The sequence below is a fragment of the Homo sapiens genome, chromosome X, assembly GCF_000001405.40.
Source record: "Homo sapiens chromosome X, GRCh38.p14 Primary Assembly".
Lineage (NCBI taxonomy): Eukaryota > Metazoa > Chordata > Mammalia > Primates > Hominidae > Homo > Homo sapiens.
Genome location: NC_000023.11, coordinates 116,157,763 through 116,177,332, shown reverse-complemented (window position 1 = coordinate 116,177,332; position 19,570 = coordinate 116,157,763). Strand labels below are relative to the sequence as shown.

The following is a 19,570-nucleotide window of genomic DNA, read 5'->3' as shown; positions in this document are numbered from 1 at the left end:
AAGAAAAATGTCTAGTACACCAGATGGGAGTTTAGGGTCAAAATATTTTAAATATTTAAATAAATGTACAACACAGTGATAAGGAACATATCTGATAGATAATAAACAAAAAAGAGAAAGAAATAGGAATAAAGATATAGAGATAAAAATAAATTGTATCTATCCATTTATATGTACTCTGTGTGGGTGTGTGTATGTATATATAATAATTTTACCCCATGCTATTAGTGGTGATCGTCTCTGTAGCTAATTTTTGTCCCTATAGTTAAATTTTTCAAGAATAAGTATTGATTCTATAATAAGAAATATATATCAGTTATTTTTAAATTTAGAAAGAATTATCTTATTCCAAAAAATGTTCAAAAAGAAAGAATTTATTTTTGAGGGTGCTAACCCTTTGTAGGTGTGTGTATGGAGTGAGCTAACTAATCTCTGGGCCACTGGTCTTCTGCAGGTGAAATAATTATTTTTAGTGATAATTTATGAATTTCTGTTATTTTGTATAAATTATCACTGCTGTTATAGTTTATGTGAGAATTAACAAAATAAGTGTTCTATTATCCTTATTGCGTCAACCCTCAACCCTTTCTTGCTTGAGACATCTCATGTGTTAACTCATCTTGTCAAGTTTGGAGTTTTCTCTTGTTGATATGTGAGGACACCAGACAGTTTCCCATCCTCAGATTCCTGTGGGGGAACAAAAGAGAAAAAAAGTCAAAACAGAATTTGCTTACTTTCAGATTTTCTTCTGATTTTGATGCATGCCTCAAAGAATCAGAAGAAAGGATATTTTGCAAAATAATCTATTTAGTAGGTCTGATTTAGGGCTATAAAATGTGGAAATAATTAATATTTACTTTTCCATAATAAAAATACACATTACTTCTGCAAGATGCAAGAGATGAGTTTCTCTGGTAACCCTATATAATCTCATTTCAAAGAGCTAAAGTTCATATCAACATGTTTGTTCCTTAAAGGAAACATTTAAGATATCTGTCTTGCTTTGTGTACAGGGTAGAGGGGGCAGCAGGGGATAGTGGTGACTTTATGTAGTTCCATACAGTATGGAGTACAAAGAAAGGGCAGTGAAGAAAAAGGGAGAAAGCCTCATCAGTCTGCCTCCTATCTTTTCCTACAGAAGCACTTGTATTACCAAGGTTATGGATACTGAAGTACTAACTTTAAGGTGAAGGTTGAAGGAGTGTGTAAGACTGTCTGAAATACCTGCTTGGTGGCCTAGGATTTATATTTGAAGTACTAAATCACATAATTGATACTACCTGATTCATCTGTCAGAGCCAAATTTAAAGATTAGTCAGGAATCATCTGTGCCTCAGTTTCCTTATTTGTAAAATAATAATCATTGAGTAATTTTTAGAATAAAATGGAACAATGCATATTTAATATTGCTTAGCACATAATGCTCATCTAATAATACCTGTTGTTATGTTATGTACTTCCCAGGCATTGTGTTGGGTGACTTGAGAAAAGGTGGGGTCATGAAAAAGAAAGGATATTACATAATACCTTGAAAAGTGGCCGAATGAGAATAAAAACATTTTCATTTGTTATCTGAGAAGCTTACCTGAAATTTGCATTTTCAAAGAGAAAAGCGGACAAGTACACTTTTGTACATACATTCCTAAAGCAAGAGTTCACACATTCTTGTACCATCCTCTCAACTGGCATTTCTTCTTAGTCCCAAGAAAAACCACTTGGAGGCTACTACTCAGGGTTCAACATTGGGCTTCTATAAAAGCAGACATCAGGCTTAACATCCCAAAAACTAGAGAAGCAATTCTGTTCATTAAAGGAAATTCTAGGGGTGTAGTATTATAATTAGTATAATAATTATTATTATGGTAGAGGAAATAGCATGAGCTGAATGTCGAAAGTTGAGCAGATTTTCATCACTTGAATGTGAGGCCCTGAGGAGGTGAGAATGATTGGAGGGGTGTTTAGTAAGATGGAGCTGTGTGAACAACAGCAGAGAGGCACGAAAGGGCATTAGGCTTTAAAAAGCATTAAGTCATTTTTTGATGCTTAAACACAGGGTTTGAAGAGGTGTGACAGAGAGAAAAAGTCCAGAAAGACTAGGAAGAGTCACATCTCCCAAGGTCTTGCAGACTCGAAGAAAGTTGGATTTTGCTTTCATAGCTAATGGGAAATTATGGCTCAATACTCAAGAGAGGAAGACTTGAACAGTATAGCAAGAGGCCAGGTGAGTAATAATCGGAGCTGAAACTAAGTAGTATCAGTGGAGATAAAATGGAGGATACAGATACAAGAGAAGGTAAGAATACTTAGAAGTAGAATATATACTTAGAAGTAGTTAAAAAAAATTTTTAAAAGCACGAATGTTCTTCCAATTAAAAATTTTATTTATATGAGCTGTTTTACAAAATTATTGAAAACATAACATCATAGTTGGTTATACATTTAGCTATTTGTTTTTATTGAAAATAAAAGGATTACATGAAATTAGGACTTTTCCAGAAAGTGGTATGACAGGACTCTTCTGTCTATAATCCTGGAACCTGGCAGAGATGCTGAGTCCCCAAAACGTTAGTTCCGCCTCAGAGATCAGTATTTAGACCTACCTCAGAGGAAGGTCCTAGATAACCTGTTATTATACAGGGCTGGTACAGAATAAAGTCTCAAATTTCTAAAATTAATATTCATACTTTAATGTAAGTAAACTTTAGGTAACTCAGTTTTAGGCACTCCTCTAACTTAGGAGCTTTAATAGTGCTGAGAAGGAGGTATCTAGACCTGCAATTGGTTTAAAATAGCTCCATAGAATCATACAGATTCTGGAACAAACAGTGTTTATAGATATAGGGTAAAACTACCCCCACGGTATATATTTTCAAAGTCACATTGTACTGCCCTGACAGGTTCCTTTCTTGGTACCAAACATGTAATTGACTGGGTCTCTTTGCCCCCACCCAGACCCCATGTAGCAAAATTCCATTCTGGATACCATTTCCTATGCCAGTTAAGGGTTTATTACAAGTTAAAGAGTTTTTTTTAAGCCACCCAGATATTTTAGGAAACAACCCAGAACCAAAGCATTAATAATAAAAATCAAATCAATGTCCTATATATCAAAGCAGCACATCTAAAAAGTCAAGGATGTGAAAAGTGACCTTTACATTTTACAACAATACACAGTGTTTACTGATTTCAAAAAAGTATCAGAGAAAATAGAAACCTTTAAACAATCATTAAAATGAGTAGAAAGTTTTTTAAAAAGTGCTTATTCAGAGTTTAGTGAACACACAAATATTATAGATTGCAATTCTATGTTATAGTACATCTTGCTTTCTATAACTGTAAAAATAAGCTAAAGCATAGGAGTATGATTTAATCTATATTCCTAGCCCTATTCAATATGTAGTTATAGATTAACTATAAACCTCCACTCAAGTGAAATGCAAGAGGAATATAATTTATAGCTTTTTTAAAGAAGCATATGCCTAAAGCCTGAATAATCCAGTACTAATCTATTATAATATACTCAACTTAGAAGTGCTCATCTCTCTTACAATGTTGTCTTGTAAATGATGCAATGAGTTGAAAGACTGGTTCTGGTTCAAGAGGAAATCCTGATAAAAATGGATATAAAACCCCACTAAGAAACACAAGCATGTTTCAAAGAGAAATCTGAATCCCCAAATCATTATTCACAATCTATTATTAATTACAATTTGAGATATATCACCAGTTACTTCTAGGTTGTAAATATGTCTCACTAATGACAATCTTGTACAAACATATCAGAAAAACAATGGGCAATTCCTGAAAGTCACTGGACGATAAAACATAGTTACATTTGGTTTCAGAAGATTCAGAAAAGATTAGGGGAAATTTTATTATTTTATTAAAACCACTTAAAAATAATTCTGGTGAGCCTCAAAGCAAGTAGCCATGTTGATTACATGCATTTTGCTCTCACGTTTAAGACACAAAGGTCTCCATTTCTCTAAGAGAACTGCTTTTCCGGCAAGACATACTCTCTCTTTTCCCTTGGAGCCAAGTAATTGGAACCCTAAACACACTGCGGAGCTTCTGTTGGAACCGGTTTCCAACAAAACAATACAGAAACGGATTAACGCAGCTGTTGGTGAATCCCAAGAGGATGGCAAAAGGAAGTGCCAGGTCAATGACTGCTATAACTTCGCAGCTATTAATGACACCCATCCAGGCCAGAGCATCCAGGAAGGTCAGAACATGGAAGGGAAGCCAGCAAATGATGAAGGCCAGAACAACAGCAGCTGCCATCTTCAGGACTTGGTCACGGGTTATCCTGTTCTTCCCATAGCTATTCGTCTTCAGTAAGTGTTTTCTAATTCCAAAATAGCATGTTGCTATGAATATTAAAGGGATAATAAAACCAAGGATATTTTTCATTAAGGCAATCCCAGCTGACCATTGGGCATATTTCTCAGGTGGGAAAGCCATAATGCAAGCATTCACTCCTAAGTATTCAATGGTTCTGACGTCTCGAAAATAAAATGTTGGCAATGAGGACAAACAGGCCATACACCAAACAAGGGGAACTATATAAGATGCTTGCCAGGGATTTCTTCTTTGAGACAGAAAGGGGTAGATGACAGATTGGTACCTATCAACACTCATGCAGGTGATAAAAAAAATGCTTGCAAACATGTTCAGGGTAAGAAAAGAACCAAAAACTTTGCACATCACAGGTCCAAAGAGCCAGTCATATCTATAAGAATAATAGGTTGCCCATAGAGGAAGAGTAGCCAAAAGGAGTAAATCAGCCACAGCGAGGTTGAAGATGTATATGCTAGAAACCTTTTTAGGACCCTTTTGACAACAAAACAGTGTAACCACGACAATATTGACCAGAAATCCAATTACAAATATAATGTAGTAAAGAATAGGAATTGCATCTAAATGCTTATCTGATGGTTTCTGTGAACAGTTCAAGGTAGACTCATTGTTGCCAGAGATGTTCACAAGCCCGAAGTGAAGACCGCTGGTAATGTTTTTGCTAGTAGTGGCAAGGGTGGAGTTGCCCTTCATATTGAAATGTCAGCAGCTCCTAGTTCTTATGCCTTCTGTGGAGAAAAAACATAGAACTCTTAGAACACATACAGAGCTGAGGACATCCTTGAATCATTAGCATTTTGAATGTTTGTCAAAAGCAAAAAAAAAGTGAGTGATTATAGAAAACATTAAGAAACAGAGCCATGGCTTGTAAAACAAGAATTCATTTTACCTCTTGAAAAAGGAGAAATAATTTTCCTGATAGTAGAAAAAAGACATTTCAGAGATTCAAAGTTCTGAATAAAACTACCTTTTGCCCATCTTTTCTATGATGTTTTTGAAAGATTTAAAGAAAATTAATATTTCAAAAGATTAGTCAGGGCAGGAAATGTGTGAAACAAATAAGAAACCCAGAGGTAAGAAAAGTTAATCTTTCAAAAAACACTTGAGCATATATCTCTGTTTGTATACTTTCTAGAAACCACACTGCTGCTTGCTATTGCATAGAGAAATGCTCTATTTAAGTAACTAATTACATACAAATCACTACAGCTGTGGAAAATATAAGTAACATAAGCAATGGAAAAAATAAGTATATAAAAAACTAAAAGAGAATATGCCAAAGGAACATATTGTGATGGGGAATCATGGTTTGTCTTTAATAATTAAAAATAATTCCTTTAGTTTTACTTTTCTATTGTTTTCACAATAATAATATAGTTAAGAAGAAGTTATGAAATATATTTATATTTCTAAGTCTTCTCCTTTTAATAGAGAATATTAGTTTTAGATATAGATATCTAATTTTGGTCTATTTAATATCTAAACAATCCATTTTCAATTAAATCAGATAAAGAAAAAAACAGCCAAACCTATGTTAGGTTCAAGTAGAAGTAGTTTAGATTGCTCAGTGAAATGAGAAATGAACATCAATGATTAATCATGATATAGTCTTATCATTTTTCTTTTTCTCTCTTTTCGGTTTAACCGAACTGAATAGCCGTTGCTCTCAAACGTTACAGTGTTGAGGTTTTTGTGATTTTTTTCACTAGAAGCATTATTTTAAAACCAAAAAAAAAAACACATTAGCTAAAGATAAGCATACAAAGGAAACACTATTTACTTTAGATAGTTTCAAAATACATGCAAATAAGCTACCCAATTAAAAGTGTAATATCTAAAGAACCTCCTAATAAAGAGCAAAACTTTTATTTTGCTCTAAAGATTTTTCTTTTGACCTAACAAATTAACATAAAAGAATCAATAATAAATTCCACTTGAAGACTTACTGGTTGTTGAAGTTTAAAGCAGTTATCATAAATCAGCTTGCTTAGTGCCTAAACACACTCCTGTAAGAGAAACAGCAGCTAAATAATTCAGGAGTTTTGCAAAATACAGTGTTAAAACACAGGAAAAACAGAAGTTCATCCATAAAAAATATTTTCATTTAATGTATGTTCTACTTTCCAAGTAAATTATATATAAATTGTTCATACTTACCTTCAAAATTCAGGCTGCAGAATGCTTTGAATTCTGTGCTTACTCGTTCTCTCAGACGCTGGGACGTAATAGCACCAGATCTCTGGTTTCCTTCTTATATGTTTGGTCTGTCCACTGGGAGCCTTCAACCTACATAATTCTAGGGCTGACTTATGAACCCTTGCCAGCTTTCCAGAGAGGTTTTTTTTTGTCTGCAAAACATTAATCTGAAATTCTCACTGTCTCCAATCATAACAGCTCATTCAAATAAATCTCAAACAAAAAAAATGAAGTTTCCACAAATGTGCTAGAGAATTTTGAAGTCAGTGGCTTACTTGGTAGGAGAAAAATATAGTAATTATTTACAGAATTTTCTCTTCCTTTTTTCCTGATATTGGCATTCTAATAGAAATTAGTGAGTAGAGACTAGGAAATTTATTATAGTAGCAAAGTCTTTGTTCATCAGCTTTCACAACCTTCATTACTTTCTGAAATTTTTACCCCTGTTTATTAAAGAATGGTAGGAATTTTACTTGAAGTCTACCACTTCTAAAATTTCTCCCTTGCTTTGCGCAGTTTTTGTTGGCTTGTTGCTGGAGGGTTGGAGATTGCAGGAATATAATTTTTACACGACCAAAAAGAGGTTTAGTCTCCTTTCATAGGTCTCTGTCATATTTGTGGTTTAAATACAAAGCACATAAAGTGAAGAGGGATTCGCTAGCTATTTCAACCTAGATCACTGTTGCTGCTGTCTCTTGTGGCAGTGGGGGCAATAAACTACACAACCAATCCAGCAGAAGCAAGAGTGACAAAATGAAGAAAGATAAGAACAGGTGATGGTAGTGATAATACTAGCTGACAATAAATGTTATGTGCCGAACACTGTGATGAGTTATTTATCATCAATAATTTAATAGAGAGGCAATATAGCACACTGGTTAGTAAATAGCCTCTGGGATCCAACTACCTGGCTTTACAAACCCAGCTCTACCACTTACTAATTCTGACCTTGGCCAAGTTACTTTACTTCTTCATGTCTCAGTTTCTCATCTGAGAAAGGAGAATGATATAAATTACCTACATCGTAGAGTAGGAATTTTAAATAAGCTAATGGAAAATTAAATGAGCTAATATGTTTAAAGTGCCTAAAATCATGCCTAGCATATGGTAGGTGCTATTACAAGCTATTCATATTAGCCCCCACTTTACAAATCAGGAAACTAGGACTCATAGAGTTTAATAACTTTTCTGAGATCATACAGCTATTAAATGAAGACACTTGCATTTAAATCAAAGGAAACTAATATCAGAACTCACGCTGTTTAGCCTCTATACCACAAGAGGAAGCACTAGATGGTCCCTTAGTCTCACTCTTTGTCTTGGCAAAAAGGAAACGTGGCATTTACAGAAAATCACTGATGACCATTCATAATCTATCATAAAAGCATCAAAGAAGGGGAAAAGAATTGGAAGAATTGTTATGTGGGGAAACGTATTTTTCTTAATTGTATTGCCCAAATGGAGACCACAGGAAGGAGAAACTTGTGACTAGATGGCTTTCTATAGTTAGTACAGAGAACCAGAGAACCTAGAGCACATTTTAAATGGGCAAAAAGATTCAAGTTATTTCTGTGGATCATATTTTTCAGATAAGCAGCAAGAATGCACCTGTCCATGCTGCAGGCCACAGGTAAAGAATGAGGGCAGGCTCTGAGGAAGTAGCTGGGCACCTAAGTATGGAGTTCAGCAGAACAAGGAAGGAGAAGTCAGTGTTGATGACAGAAGACAAAATTGCAAATGGCATGAGACAAATCACATGGCTTTTGATATCTGTCTGTTTCTCCATTAATATTAAAGTCAATACTGTAGCACACAGGCAGATGAGATCAGTGAGAAGTCATCGTTATGTGAAAAATACAGTAGGATTCAAAGGTTTGCATAGGCCATCATAAAGTTTGTTTGGTAAACAGTTTGAACATTGTCAAAATGCCCCTAATATATGTATGCACCATTTTACTAAATCTCAAAATATTTGTTTCCTATGCTCTGGACAGATTCAGTTGAGGCTGAGGCTCTGTTAAAATGATGGAAAACTTATGTTTCAGAAACAAATGAGGGGGCACATATGTTTATCAGCAGGAAAGCTGAGATGGAAACTGTTTTCACTCATTGTTTAAACCTGGTTTCTCCCTCCATTTCAAATGTTTGTTTTTGCCACATAAAGGGGAAGTTTCCAGGCCAGGGCCTCCCGAGTGGTCACAATGGGTCAGATTCTCACCCTGCTCTTTTTCTTGTACCCTCTTAGGCCCCTTGCAAAGAAACAGCCAGGAGGTGAGCTATAAAATTATGAGAACAAACTACAGGCTTGTCTCCGGAAGACCTAGCCTTGAACACCCACAAGGAACAGGGGACCTTGTCTAGAGCTTTTGTCCTTCATTACAGTAAGTTCTGACATAAATAAAGTTTAAAGAGGTACATATTTCCCAGAAGATTAAAGGGCCATTTACTCTGCGTCTTCATAATCTTAGGAGTAATTTTTTTCACAAGTCAAAGAAAAATTTTGTAACTGCAGAGAATTAACAAAAAGTTTATAAAAAGAATAGCAATAATATTGACACCACTTGAAGAAATACTGTATATTATTGATTCAGCAAAGAACTCCCAGTTAAGCCAACAATGTAAATACACTTGAGAGTCAAATAAGTGTCAGTCCTGGGAAGCAGTACAACACAAAAAGTTCATTCTCCTGGGAGTAGGGAATAATTTTTCTGCTGGTAGACTTACTTAAAAAGTTTCAGGCCATTTGAATAAATTATGCAGCTCTGCAGGACAAGTGTAGCTGAGCTAGCAGAATTAAATAGTAAATCACATTAAATTAATTTTTTTCTAATGAATACCTGTTGTTTATTGTGAGATTACTTAACAGTAAATTTTAAAGGACTAAGCTAAAAAAGTAAATGTTCTTGAGAGAAATTCTTCCTCTGCTAGAAGGTTACAGAGTTCAGAACAAATTTTATTTGCCGCCTCACCTCCACCCACACACACAGATGAAACTTCAAAGGAGAAAAGAAATACATAAATGCAAAAATGCGTAAAAATTCTAGACATAGTGCCCTGGTTATAGAGGTAAAGATTAGAGGTACAGATTACGGAATGATTTTAATATATATGGGTCTTCCTTTTTAATCTAGGTCTCTCAGAGTCATTTTAACTTTCCCCAACCCCAGCCACCACACTGAGTGCCAATATCATTGCCACTTCTCTCAACTTCAACACACACACACACACACACACACACACCATTCATACCCATGTACCCACGTACATACTTTATACCAACTTTTCTTTAATTCACTTACCCATAGAGTAGCCTTGCTTTAATTGTCACTGGACTTTTCCTAACCTGGGGGTCTCTAAAAGGAGGGTAGTTAAGAAGATTGCCCATTATTGATGAATCTTTGCATATTATTTTTGTGCCTGTCTGTGAAATGTCACAATTAAAGCAAATGGAAAAAAAAATAAGGTCTTTTATTCAGAAATAACAATCAGATTGGCCATTTTGTAGAAACCAGCTTAAAATTCAGTGAAATGCCCAACATGAGTGATTATTTTCATCAAACTACCTCTTTGTCTACGCATCACATGAAAAGTGACACAGAGGACTATTAAGTAAGTTAAGGTGAAACTGATGTAGTGAGATGAATGGATGTCAGACTCAGTACATTCTTGAGACCAGCTGCTTCCAGCTGAATCTGGTCCCAAGAACATAAGGAGAAGGGAGAGTTCTAATTTCCCTTTGCCCCAAAGACAGCTTCAGGCCTGAGCACCATGTTCAGACTAGAATCTTGCAAAAGGCACCCTAGTTCTATCCTCAAATGCTATATAACCCAACTGGTGGAAAAAAATTTTAAATGAAAATTATCTATATTTTTGTTTACATTCCAAATATCAGCTAAATGATTTGACATTTCTCCCACTGATATGACTAAATTAAATAGCTTGACTAAATTATCCAAAATTGCCAATTGACTAAATTGGCCAAACCAACAAGCTGTCTTGGAAATATTTAAACACCACTCTTAGGCGATGGGGATGTTTTGGGGGGATGTTTTGGGGAGATGTTGTCAGGTTAGAACTCTCATAGGGCAGTGGATCAACAAATTGTTAAGCTAGAGTTTGGTCCTTGAGCTTTAGGTCTAGATATTGAACTTTCTCAGAATACCCAGGCTCTCAGTGATGGCTCATGTCAATCAAATTATCTCAAAACTGATATAGTACTTTGATTGTTAATTTATTACTTTGCAATAGAGATATACTACTTTCCAGTGACCACAAAGATTGCGTTCCTTATCTGAAGCACCCTCTTCATCTCCATCCCAATATTAGGAAACAAGGTAAATCTGGCTTGGTAACTTTGCAATCAGATCAGGAAAGCTGGTAACTGGGAACCTATTTTGCTTTAGTTTCGGGAAATTTCTGTCAGGGATTATCACTCGGGTTGCCAGATTGATGAGCCCTCCAAGTCATTCTCTCAACAGTTTTGCCTCTCTGAACCCTGTTTTTCTGGTAGTCACCCCATTCTGTTGATACATTATTTGAAATATTACTATTATTGATGAAGCTATAATTAAGTCCCTGTCCAGGTGGCCTAGAAGTAATTCAAGATCTGCTTTGATTGATTGGACAAATTCTCAAAGCTGGAGATTAGAGAGAACAATCCCTCACCAAAGAGACAGGGAAAGAGGCAAAATAATCATCTCTCCAAAACTGACCATCAATTCAGAGCAAATGGTTATTTAGCTTTGTTTAAGGGAGTCATTTACCCCAACCACTTTTCAAGCTCCTAAAAGGATACAAAAACAAAAAAGAGTTGTACAATTTTGGATATTTTTGCTTTTGAGCTGCAAAACAACGTTGTGCACATGTATCCTGAAACTTAAAGTATAATAATAATAAAATTTGAAAAAAAAAGAAGATAGAACAAGATGACAGGAAGTTTGGGGTGGTGTTCTGGGTGGATCTTGAGGTTTTTACTCCAAGGAAATGAAAACAGGAAGTTTATCACTAGGAATTATGAGAGTGCTTGAGCTTTTAGATATTTACCCTACAGATATTTGAATTCGTGGTTTTCAATAAGGATTTGTAAAATGTACAACGGGAAAGCAGAATTTTTACGGTAAATAATTTGCAATACACCCACAAAGAAACTAGCTCATACTTGGGTATCTAGAAGTTGACAGCTTTCTTTACAATTAATTTATTGCATGTTGTTTCAGCAGTAACACTCCTATTTTTTATTGGTTATATTTTATACTGATCACACAACTGAAATTATTCTTCTTTTAATTGTTTTTTTAAACTGAGATATAATTTACATATGAAATGCACCGTTTTAAAAATATATTTAGTATATTCATGAAGTTGTGCAGCTATCACCACTATATAATTCCAAAACATTTTTATCACTTCTTTTTATTATTATTATTATTATTATTATACTTTAAGTTTTAGGGTACATGTGCACAATGTGCAGGTTAGTTACATATGTATACATGTGCCATGCTGGTGTGCTGAACCCATTAACTCGTCATTTAGCATTAGGTATATCTCCTAATGCTATCCCTCCCCCATCCCCCCACCCCACAACAGTCCCCAGAGTGTGATGTTCCCCTTCCTGTGTCCATGTGTTCTCATTGTTCAATTCCCACCTATGAGTGAGAACGTGCAGTGTTTGGTTTTTTGTCCTTGCGATAGTTTACTGAGAATGATGATTTCCAATTACATCCATGTCCCTACAAAGGACATGAACTCATCATTTTTTATGGCTGCATAGTATTCCATGGTGTATATGTGCCACATTTTCTTAATCCAGTCTATCATTGTTGGACATTTGGGTTGGTTCCAAGTCTTTGCTATTGTGAATAGTGCCGCAATAAACATACGTGTGCATGTGTCTTTATAGCAGCATGATTTATAATCCTTTGGGTATATACCCAGTAATGGGATGGCTGGGTTAAATGATATTTCTAGTTCTAGATCCCTGAGGAATTGCCACACTGACTTCCACAAGGCTTGAATTAGTTTACAGTCCCACCAACAGTGTAAAAGTGTTCCTATTTCTCCACATCCTCTCCAGCACCTGTTGTTTCCTGACTTTTTAATGATTGCCATTCTAACTGGTGTGAGATGGTATCTCATTGTGGTTTTGATTTGCATTTCTCTGATGGCCAGTGATGATGAGCATTTTTTCATGTGTCTTTTGGCTGCATAAATGTCTTCTTTTGAGAAGTGTCTGCTCATATCGTTTGCCCACTTTTTGATGGGGTTGTTTGTTTTTTTCTTGTAAATTTGTTTGAGTTCATTGTAGATTCTGGATATTAGCTCTTTGTCAGATGAGTAGGTTGTGAAAATTTTCTCCCATTTTGTAGGTTGCCTGTTCACTCTGATGGTAGTTTCTTTTGCTGTGCAGAAGCTCTTTAGTTTAATTAGATCCCATTTGTCAATTTTGGCTTTTGTTGCCATTGCTTTTGGTGTTTTAGACATGAAGTCCTTGCCCATGCCTATGTCCTGAATGGTAATGCCTAGGTTTTCTTCTAGGGTTTTTATGGTTTTAGGTCTAACGTTTAAGTCTTTAATCCATCTTGAATTAATTTTTGTATAAGGTGTAAGGAAGGGATCCAGTTTCAGCTTTCTACATATGGCTAGCCAGTTTTCCTAGCACCATTTATTAAATAGGGAATCCTTTCCCCATTGCTTGTTTTTCTCAGGTTTGTCAAAGATCAGATAGTTGTAGATATGCGGCGTTATTTCTGAGGGCTGTGTTCTGTTCCACTGATCTATAACTCTGTTTTGGTACCAGTACCATGCTGTTTTGGTTACTGTAGCCTTGTAGTATAGTTTGAAGTCAGGTAGCATGATGCCTCCAGCTTTGTTCTTTTGGCTTAGGATTGACTTGGCAATGCGGGCTCTTTTTTGGTTCCATATGAACTTTAAAGTAGTTTTTCCAATTCTGTGAAGAAAGTCATTGGTAGCTTGATGGGGATGGCATTGAATCTATAAATTACCTTGGGCAATGTGGCCATTTTCACGATATTGATTCTTCCTACCTGTGAGCATGGAATGTTCTTCCATTTGTTTGTATCCTCTTTTATTTTATTGAGCAGTGGTTAGTAGTTCTCCTTGAAGAGGTCCTTCACGTCCCTTGTAAGTTGGATTCCTAGGTATTTTATTCTCTTTGAAGCAATTGCAAATGGGAGTTCACTCGTGATTTGGCTCTCTGTTTGTCTGTTATTGGTGTATAAGAATGCTTGCGATTTTTGTACATTGATTTTGTATCCTGAGACTTTGCTGAAGTTGCTTATCAGCTTAAGGAGATTTTGGGCTGAGACAATGGGGTTTTCTAGATATACAATCATGTCATCTGCAAGCAGGGACAATTTGACTTCCTCTTTTCCTAATTGAATACCCTTTATTTCCTTCTCCTGCCTAATTGCCCTGGCCAGAACTTCCAACATTATGTTGAATAGGAGTGGTGAGAGAAGGCATCCCTGTCTTGTGCCAGTTTTCAAAGGGAATGCTTCCAGTTTTTGCCCATTCAGTATGATATTGGCTATGGGTTTGTCATAGATAGTTCTTATTATTTTGAGATACATCCCATTGATACATAATTTATTGAGAGTTTTTAGCATGAAGGGTTGTTGAATTTTGTCAAAGGCCTTTTCTGCATCTATTGAGATAATCATGTGGTTTTTGTCTTTGGTTCTGTTTATATGCTGGATTACATTTATTGATTTGCATATATTGAACCAGCCTTGCATCCCAGGGATGAAGCCCACTTGATCATGGTGGATAAGCTCTTTGGTGTGCTGCTGGATTCAGTTTGCCAGTATTTTCTTGAGGATTTTTGCATCAATATTCATCAAGGATATTGGTCTAAAATTCTCCTTTTTGGTTGTGTCTCTGCCCGGCTTTGGTATCAGGATGATGCTGGCCTCATAAAATGAGTTAGGGAGGATTCCCTGTTTTTCTATTGATTGGAATAATTTCAGAAGGAATGGTACCAGTTCCTCCTTGTACCTCTGGTAGAATTCGGCTGTGAATCCATCTGGTCCTGGACTCTTTTTGGTTGGTAAGCTATTGATTATTGCCACAATTTCAGAGCCTGTTATTGGTCTATTCAGAGATTCAACTTCTTCCTGGTTTAGTCTTGGGAGGGTGTACATGTCAAGGAATTTATCCATTTCTTCTAGATTTTCTAGTTTATTTGCGTAGAGGTGTTTGTAGTATTCTCTGATGGTAGTTTGTATTTCTGTGGGATTGGTGGTGATATCCCCTTTATCATTTTTTATTGCGTCTATTTGATTCTTCTCTCTTTTCTTCTTTATTAGTCTTGCTAGCAGTCTATCAATTTTGTTGATCCTTTCAAAAAACCAGCTCCTGGATTCATTAAATTTTTGAAGGGTTTTTTTGTGTCTCTATTTCCTTCAGTTCTGCTCTCATTTTAGTTATTTCTTGCCTTCTGCTAGCTTTTGAATGTGTTTGCTCTTGCTTCTCTAGTTCTTTTAATTGTGATGTTAGGGTGTCAATTTTGGATCTTTCCTGCTTTCTCTTGTGGACATTTAGTGCTATAAATTTCCCTCTACATACTGCTTTGAATGTGTCCCAGAGATTGTGGTATGTTGTGTCTTTGTTCTCGTTGGTTTCAAAGAACATTTTTATTTCTGCCTTCATTTTGTTATGTACCCAGCAGTCATTCAGGAGCAGGTTATTCAGTTTCCATGTAGTTGAGCAGTTTTGAGTGAGTTTCTTAATCCTGAGTTCTAGTTTGATTGCACTGTGGTCTGAGAGACAGTTTGTTATAATTTCTGTTCTTTTACATTTGCTGAGGAGAGCTTTACTCCCAACTATGTGGTCAATTTTGGAATAGGTGTGGTTTGGTGCTGAAAAAAATGTATATTCTGTTGATTTGGGGTGGAGAGTTCTGTAGATGTCTATTAGGTCCACTTGGTGCAGAACTGAGTTCAATTCCTGGGTATCCTTGTTAACTTTTTGTCTCGTTGATCTGTCTAATGTTGACAGTGGGGTGTTAAAGTCTCCCATTATTATTGTGTGGGAGTCTAAGTCTCTTTGTAGGTCACTCAGGACTTGCTTTATGAATATGGGTGCTCCTGTATTGGGTCCATATATATTTAGGATAGTTAGCTCTTCTTGTTGAATTGATCCCTTTACCATTATGTAATGGCCTTCTTTGTCTCTTTTGATCTTTGTTGGTTTAAAGTCTGTTTTATCAGAGACTAGGATTGCAACCCCTGCCTTTTTTTGTTTTCCATTTGCTCGGTAGATCTTCCTCCATCCTTTTATTTTGAGCCTATGTGTGTCTCTGCACATGAGATGGGTTTCCTGAATACAGCACACTGATGGGTCTTGACTCTTTATCCAATTTGCCAGTCTGTGTCTTTTGATTGGAGCATTTAGTCCATTTACATTTAAAGTTAATATTGTTATGTGTGAATTTGATCCTGTCATTATGATGTTCGCTGGTTATTTTGCTCGTTAGTTGATGCAGTTTCTTCCTAGCCTCGATGGTCTTTACAATTTGGCATGATTTTGCAGTGGCTGGTACTGGTTGTTCCTTTCCATGTTTAGTGCTTCCTTCAGGAGCTCTTTTAGGGCAGGCCTGGTAGTGACAAAATCTCTCAGCATTTGCTTGTGTGTAAAGTATTTTATTTCTCCTTCACTTATGAAGCTTAGTTTGGCTGGATATGAAATTCTGGGTTGAAAATTCTTTTCTTTAAGAATGTTGAATATTGGCTTCCACTCTCTTCTGGCTTGTAGAGTTTCTGCCAAGAGATCAGCTGTTAGTCTGATGGGCTTCCCTTTGTGGGTAACCTGACCTTTCTCTCTGGCTGCCCTTAACATTTTTTCCTTCATTTCAACTTTGGTGAATCTGACAATTATTTGTCTTGGAGTTGCTCTTCTCGGGGAGTATCTTTGTGGCGTTCTCTGTATTTCCTGAAACTGAATGTTGGCCTCCCTTGCTAGATTGGGGAAGTTCTCCTGGATAATATCCTGCAGAGTGTTTTCCAACTTGGTTCCATTCTCCTCGTCACTTTCAGGTACACCAATCAGATGTAGGTTTAGTCTTTTCACATAGTCCCATATTTCTTGGAGGCTTTGTTCGTTTCTTTTTATTCTTTTTTCTCTAAACTTCCCTTCTCGCTTCATTTCATTCATTTCATCTTCCATCACTGATACCCTTTCTTCCAGTTGATCGCATCGGCTCCTGAGGCTTCTGCATTCTTCACGTAGTTCTTGAGCCTTGGCTTTCAGCTCCATCAGCTCCTTTAAGCACTTCTCTGTATTGGTTATTCTAGTTACACATTCGTCTAAATTTTTTTCAAAGTTTTTAACTTCTTTGCCTTTGGTTTGAATTTCCTCCTGTAGCTCAGAGTTGTTTGATCGTCTGAAGCCTTCTTCTCTCAACTCGTCAAAGTCATTCTCTGTCCAGCTTTGTTCCATTGCTGGTGAGGAACTGTGTTTCTTTGGAGGAGGAGAGGCACTCTGATTTTTAGAGTTTCCAGTTTTTCTGCTCTGTTTTTTCCCCATCTTTGTGGTTTTATCTACTTTTAGTCTTTGATGATGGTGATGTACAGCTGGGTTTTTGGTGTGGATGTCCTTTCTGTTTGTTAGTTTTCCTTCTAACAGACAGGACCCTCAGCTGCAGGTCTGTTGGAGTTTGCTAGAGGTCCACTCCAGACCCTGTTTGCTTGGGTATCAGCAGCGGTGGCTGCAGAACAGCGGATTTTCGTGAACCGCCAATGCTGCTGTCTGATCATTCCTCTGGAAGTTTTGTCTCAGAGGAGTACCCGGCCGTGTAAGGGGTCTATCTGCCCCTACAGGGGGGTGCCTCCCAGTTAGGCTGCTCAGGGGTCAGGGGTCAGGGACCCATTTGAGGAGGCAGTCTGCCCATTCTCAGATCTCCAGCTGCGTGCTGGGAGAACCACTGCTCTCTTCAAAGCTGCCAGACAGGGACATTTAAGTCTGCAGAGCTTACTGCTGTCATTTTGTTTGTCTGTGCCCTGCCCCCAGAGGTGGAGCCTACAGAGGTAGGCAGGCCTCCTTGAGCTGTGATGGGCTCCACCCAGTTTGAGCTTCCCAGCTGCTTTGTTTACCTAAGCAAGCCTGGGCAATGGCGGGCACCCCTCCCCCAGCCTCGCTGCCATCTTGCAGTTTGATCTCAGACTGCTGTGCTAGCACTCAGCAAGACTCTGTGGGCATAGGACCCTCTGAGCCAGGTGTGGGATATAATCTCCTGGTGCGCGGTTTTTTAAGCCCATCAGAGAAGCGCAGTATTAGTGTGGGAGTGACCCGATTTTCCAGGTGCCGTCTGTCATCCCTTTCTTTGACTAGGAAAGGGAACTCCCTGACCCCTTGCACTTCCTGAGTGAGGCAATGCCTTGCCCTGCTTCGGCTCGTGCATGGTGCGCTGCACCCACTGTCCTGCGCCCACTGTCTGGCACTCCCTAGTGAGATGAACCCTGTACCTCAGATGGAAATGCAGAAATCACCCATCTTCTGCATCACTCACGCTGGGAGCTGTAGACCAGAGCTGTTCCTAGTCGGCCATCTTTCCTGCCAGCCAAAAACTTTTATCACTTCTAAAGGAAACCTGATGCCTGTTAGCAGTCACTCTCCGTTTGCCCTTTTCCTGTCTCTATTCTCCTTTTATTTTAAGATTAAAATACCAGCTATAGCCTAGAAATTCCAAAGGACATTGTCTAGAGAAACAGATAACAAATCAATACATAAATGAATGAACTTTAAGAATAGTGTGGCATTGCTATTTTCATTGTGCTTTAGTTATTTTCAGTGGCATGTATCTGTAGCCCCACAGATTGCAGTAAATGTAACACTTTCATTCAATGAACAGTACTGTTAGCATAAATCTATTTCTGCTCTAACTGTATAAATTTTCATTTGGTTATTTGTACTAAACTCATAGTCAGAAGGTTTCTCTGGAGTTAATGCAGAAAAGTAAATGTCGTATAAATAGCCTATGGGGTTGATTCCATCTGAAGGTCTCCAGACTTTTTGTGAGGAGAAGCCACTTTTCATTTCCCTAGATATGAAGTCCCCCAGGGTTGTTAGGGAGGTGCAGACATTAAAGAATGTGAATAGGATACAGGAGAGGGCACCAAGTACTGTGCTGGGCACTTGACACATATTTTATGTATACTTTGCAATAATTCTGAAAGACATTTATCATCCATACCTTATAAATAGAGAGAAATGAGGAGATTGAAGCACAAAGAGGTTAAATAACTTGCCCAACCTCAAACAGCTAGTAAATTAGAGAACTGAGGTTCAAACCTCAGGCATTATTTCTTCTACACCATTCTGATAAATATGAGGCACATTAATTAATTTTCCTGATAAAAAGGGGACATCTATGTATTCTGGGGATCTCCAGATAAAAGTAAATCAGAAAAATGTTTTAAAATATTAGTCCATTCTCACATTGCTATAAAGAAATGCTTGAGGCTGGGGAGGTTTAATTGATTCATGGTTCCGCATGCTTTACAGGAAGTATAGCTGGGGAGGCCTTAGGGAGCTTTTGCTCATGGCGGAAGGCAGAGCCAGAGCAGGCGTCTTCACATGGCCAGAGCAGGAGAAAGAGAGGGGGGAGGTGCCACACACTTTTAAACAAACAGATCTCATGAGAACTCACCCACTATACAGTACCAAGTAATGGATGGTGCTAAACCATTCCTGAAGGATTCACCCTCATGATCCAATCACCTCCCACCAAGCCACACCCCTAACATTGGTGATTACCATTTAACATGAGATTTGAGTGTGGCCACAGATCTAAACCATATCAGTAGGATAGCTCAGCAAATGAGAGCACTCCATAAATATAATACACTTAGAGCAAATCTCACAAGTAAAATGCTGTTATAAAAGGAATGTATTTATTTACTGACTCTTAACTCAAAGGTAAATGTCCATAGCTAAGATGAATTTAATAAGATGAAAAGAGCTTTAATTGAAGCAGTTTTGTTTACATAATTTAATT

General features: G+C 37.2%; 1 protein-coding gene across 2 annotated transcripts; it reads right to left on the bottom strand.

Annotated features, from left to right (window-relative positions):
- AGTR2 (angiotensin II receptor type 2) lies at positions 2,359-6,589 on the bottom strand. 2 transcript variants are annotated; one of them, NM_000686.5, is made up of 3 exons: positions 6,517-6,589; positions 6,306-6,365; positions 2,359-5,087 (listed from the first exon to the last, which is right to left on the bottom strand). In NM_000686.5, the coding sequence occupies exon 3, from the start codon at positions 5,050-5,052 to the stop codon at positions 3,961-3,963; it is 1,092 nt and encodes a 363-aa protein (NP_000677.2). In that variant the 5' UTR covers positions 5,053-5,087; positions 6,306-6,365; positions 6,517-6,589; the 3' UTR covers positions 2,359-3,960. The 2 variants fall into 2 exon arrangements, with proteins under 2 accessions (NP_000677.2, NP_001372553.1); NM_001385624.1 differs by lacking the exon at positions 6,306-6,365.

What these genes read in the sequence shown, in the direction of transcription:
- AGTR2 (NM_000686.5), bottom strand. Translation starts at nt 5,052, where the DNA reads ATGAAGGGCAACTCCACCCTTGCCACTACTAGCAAAAACATTACCAGC.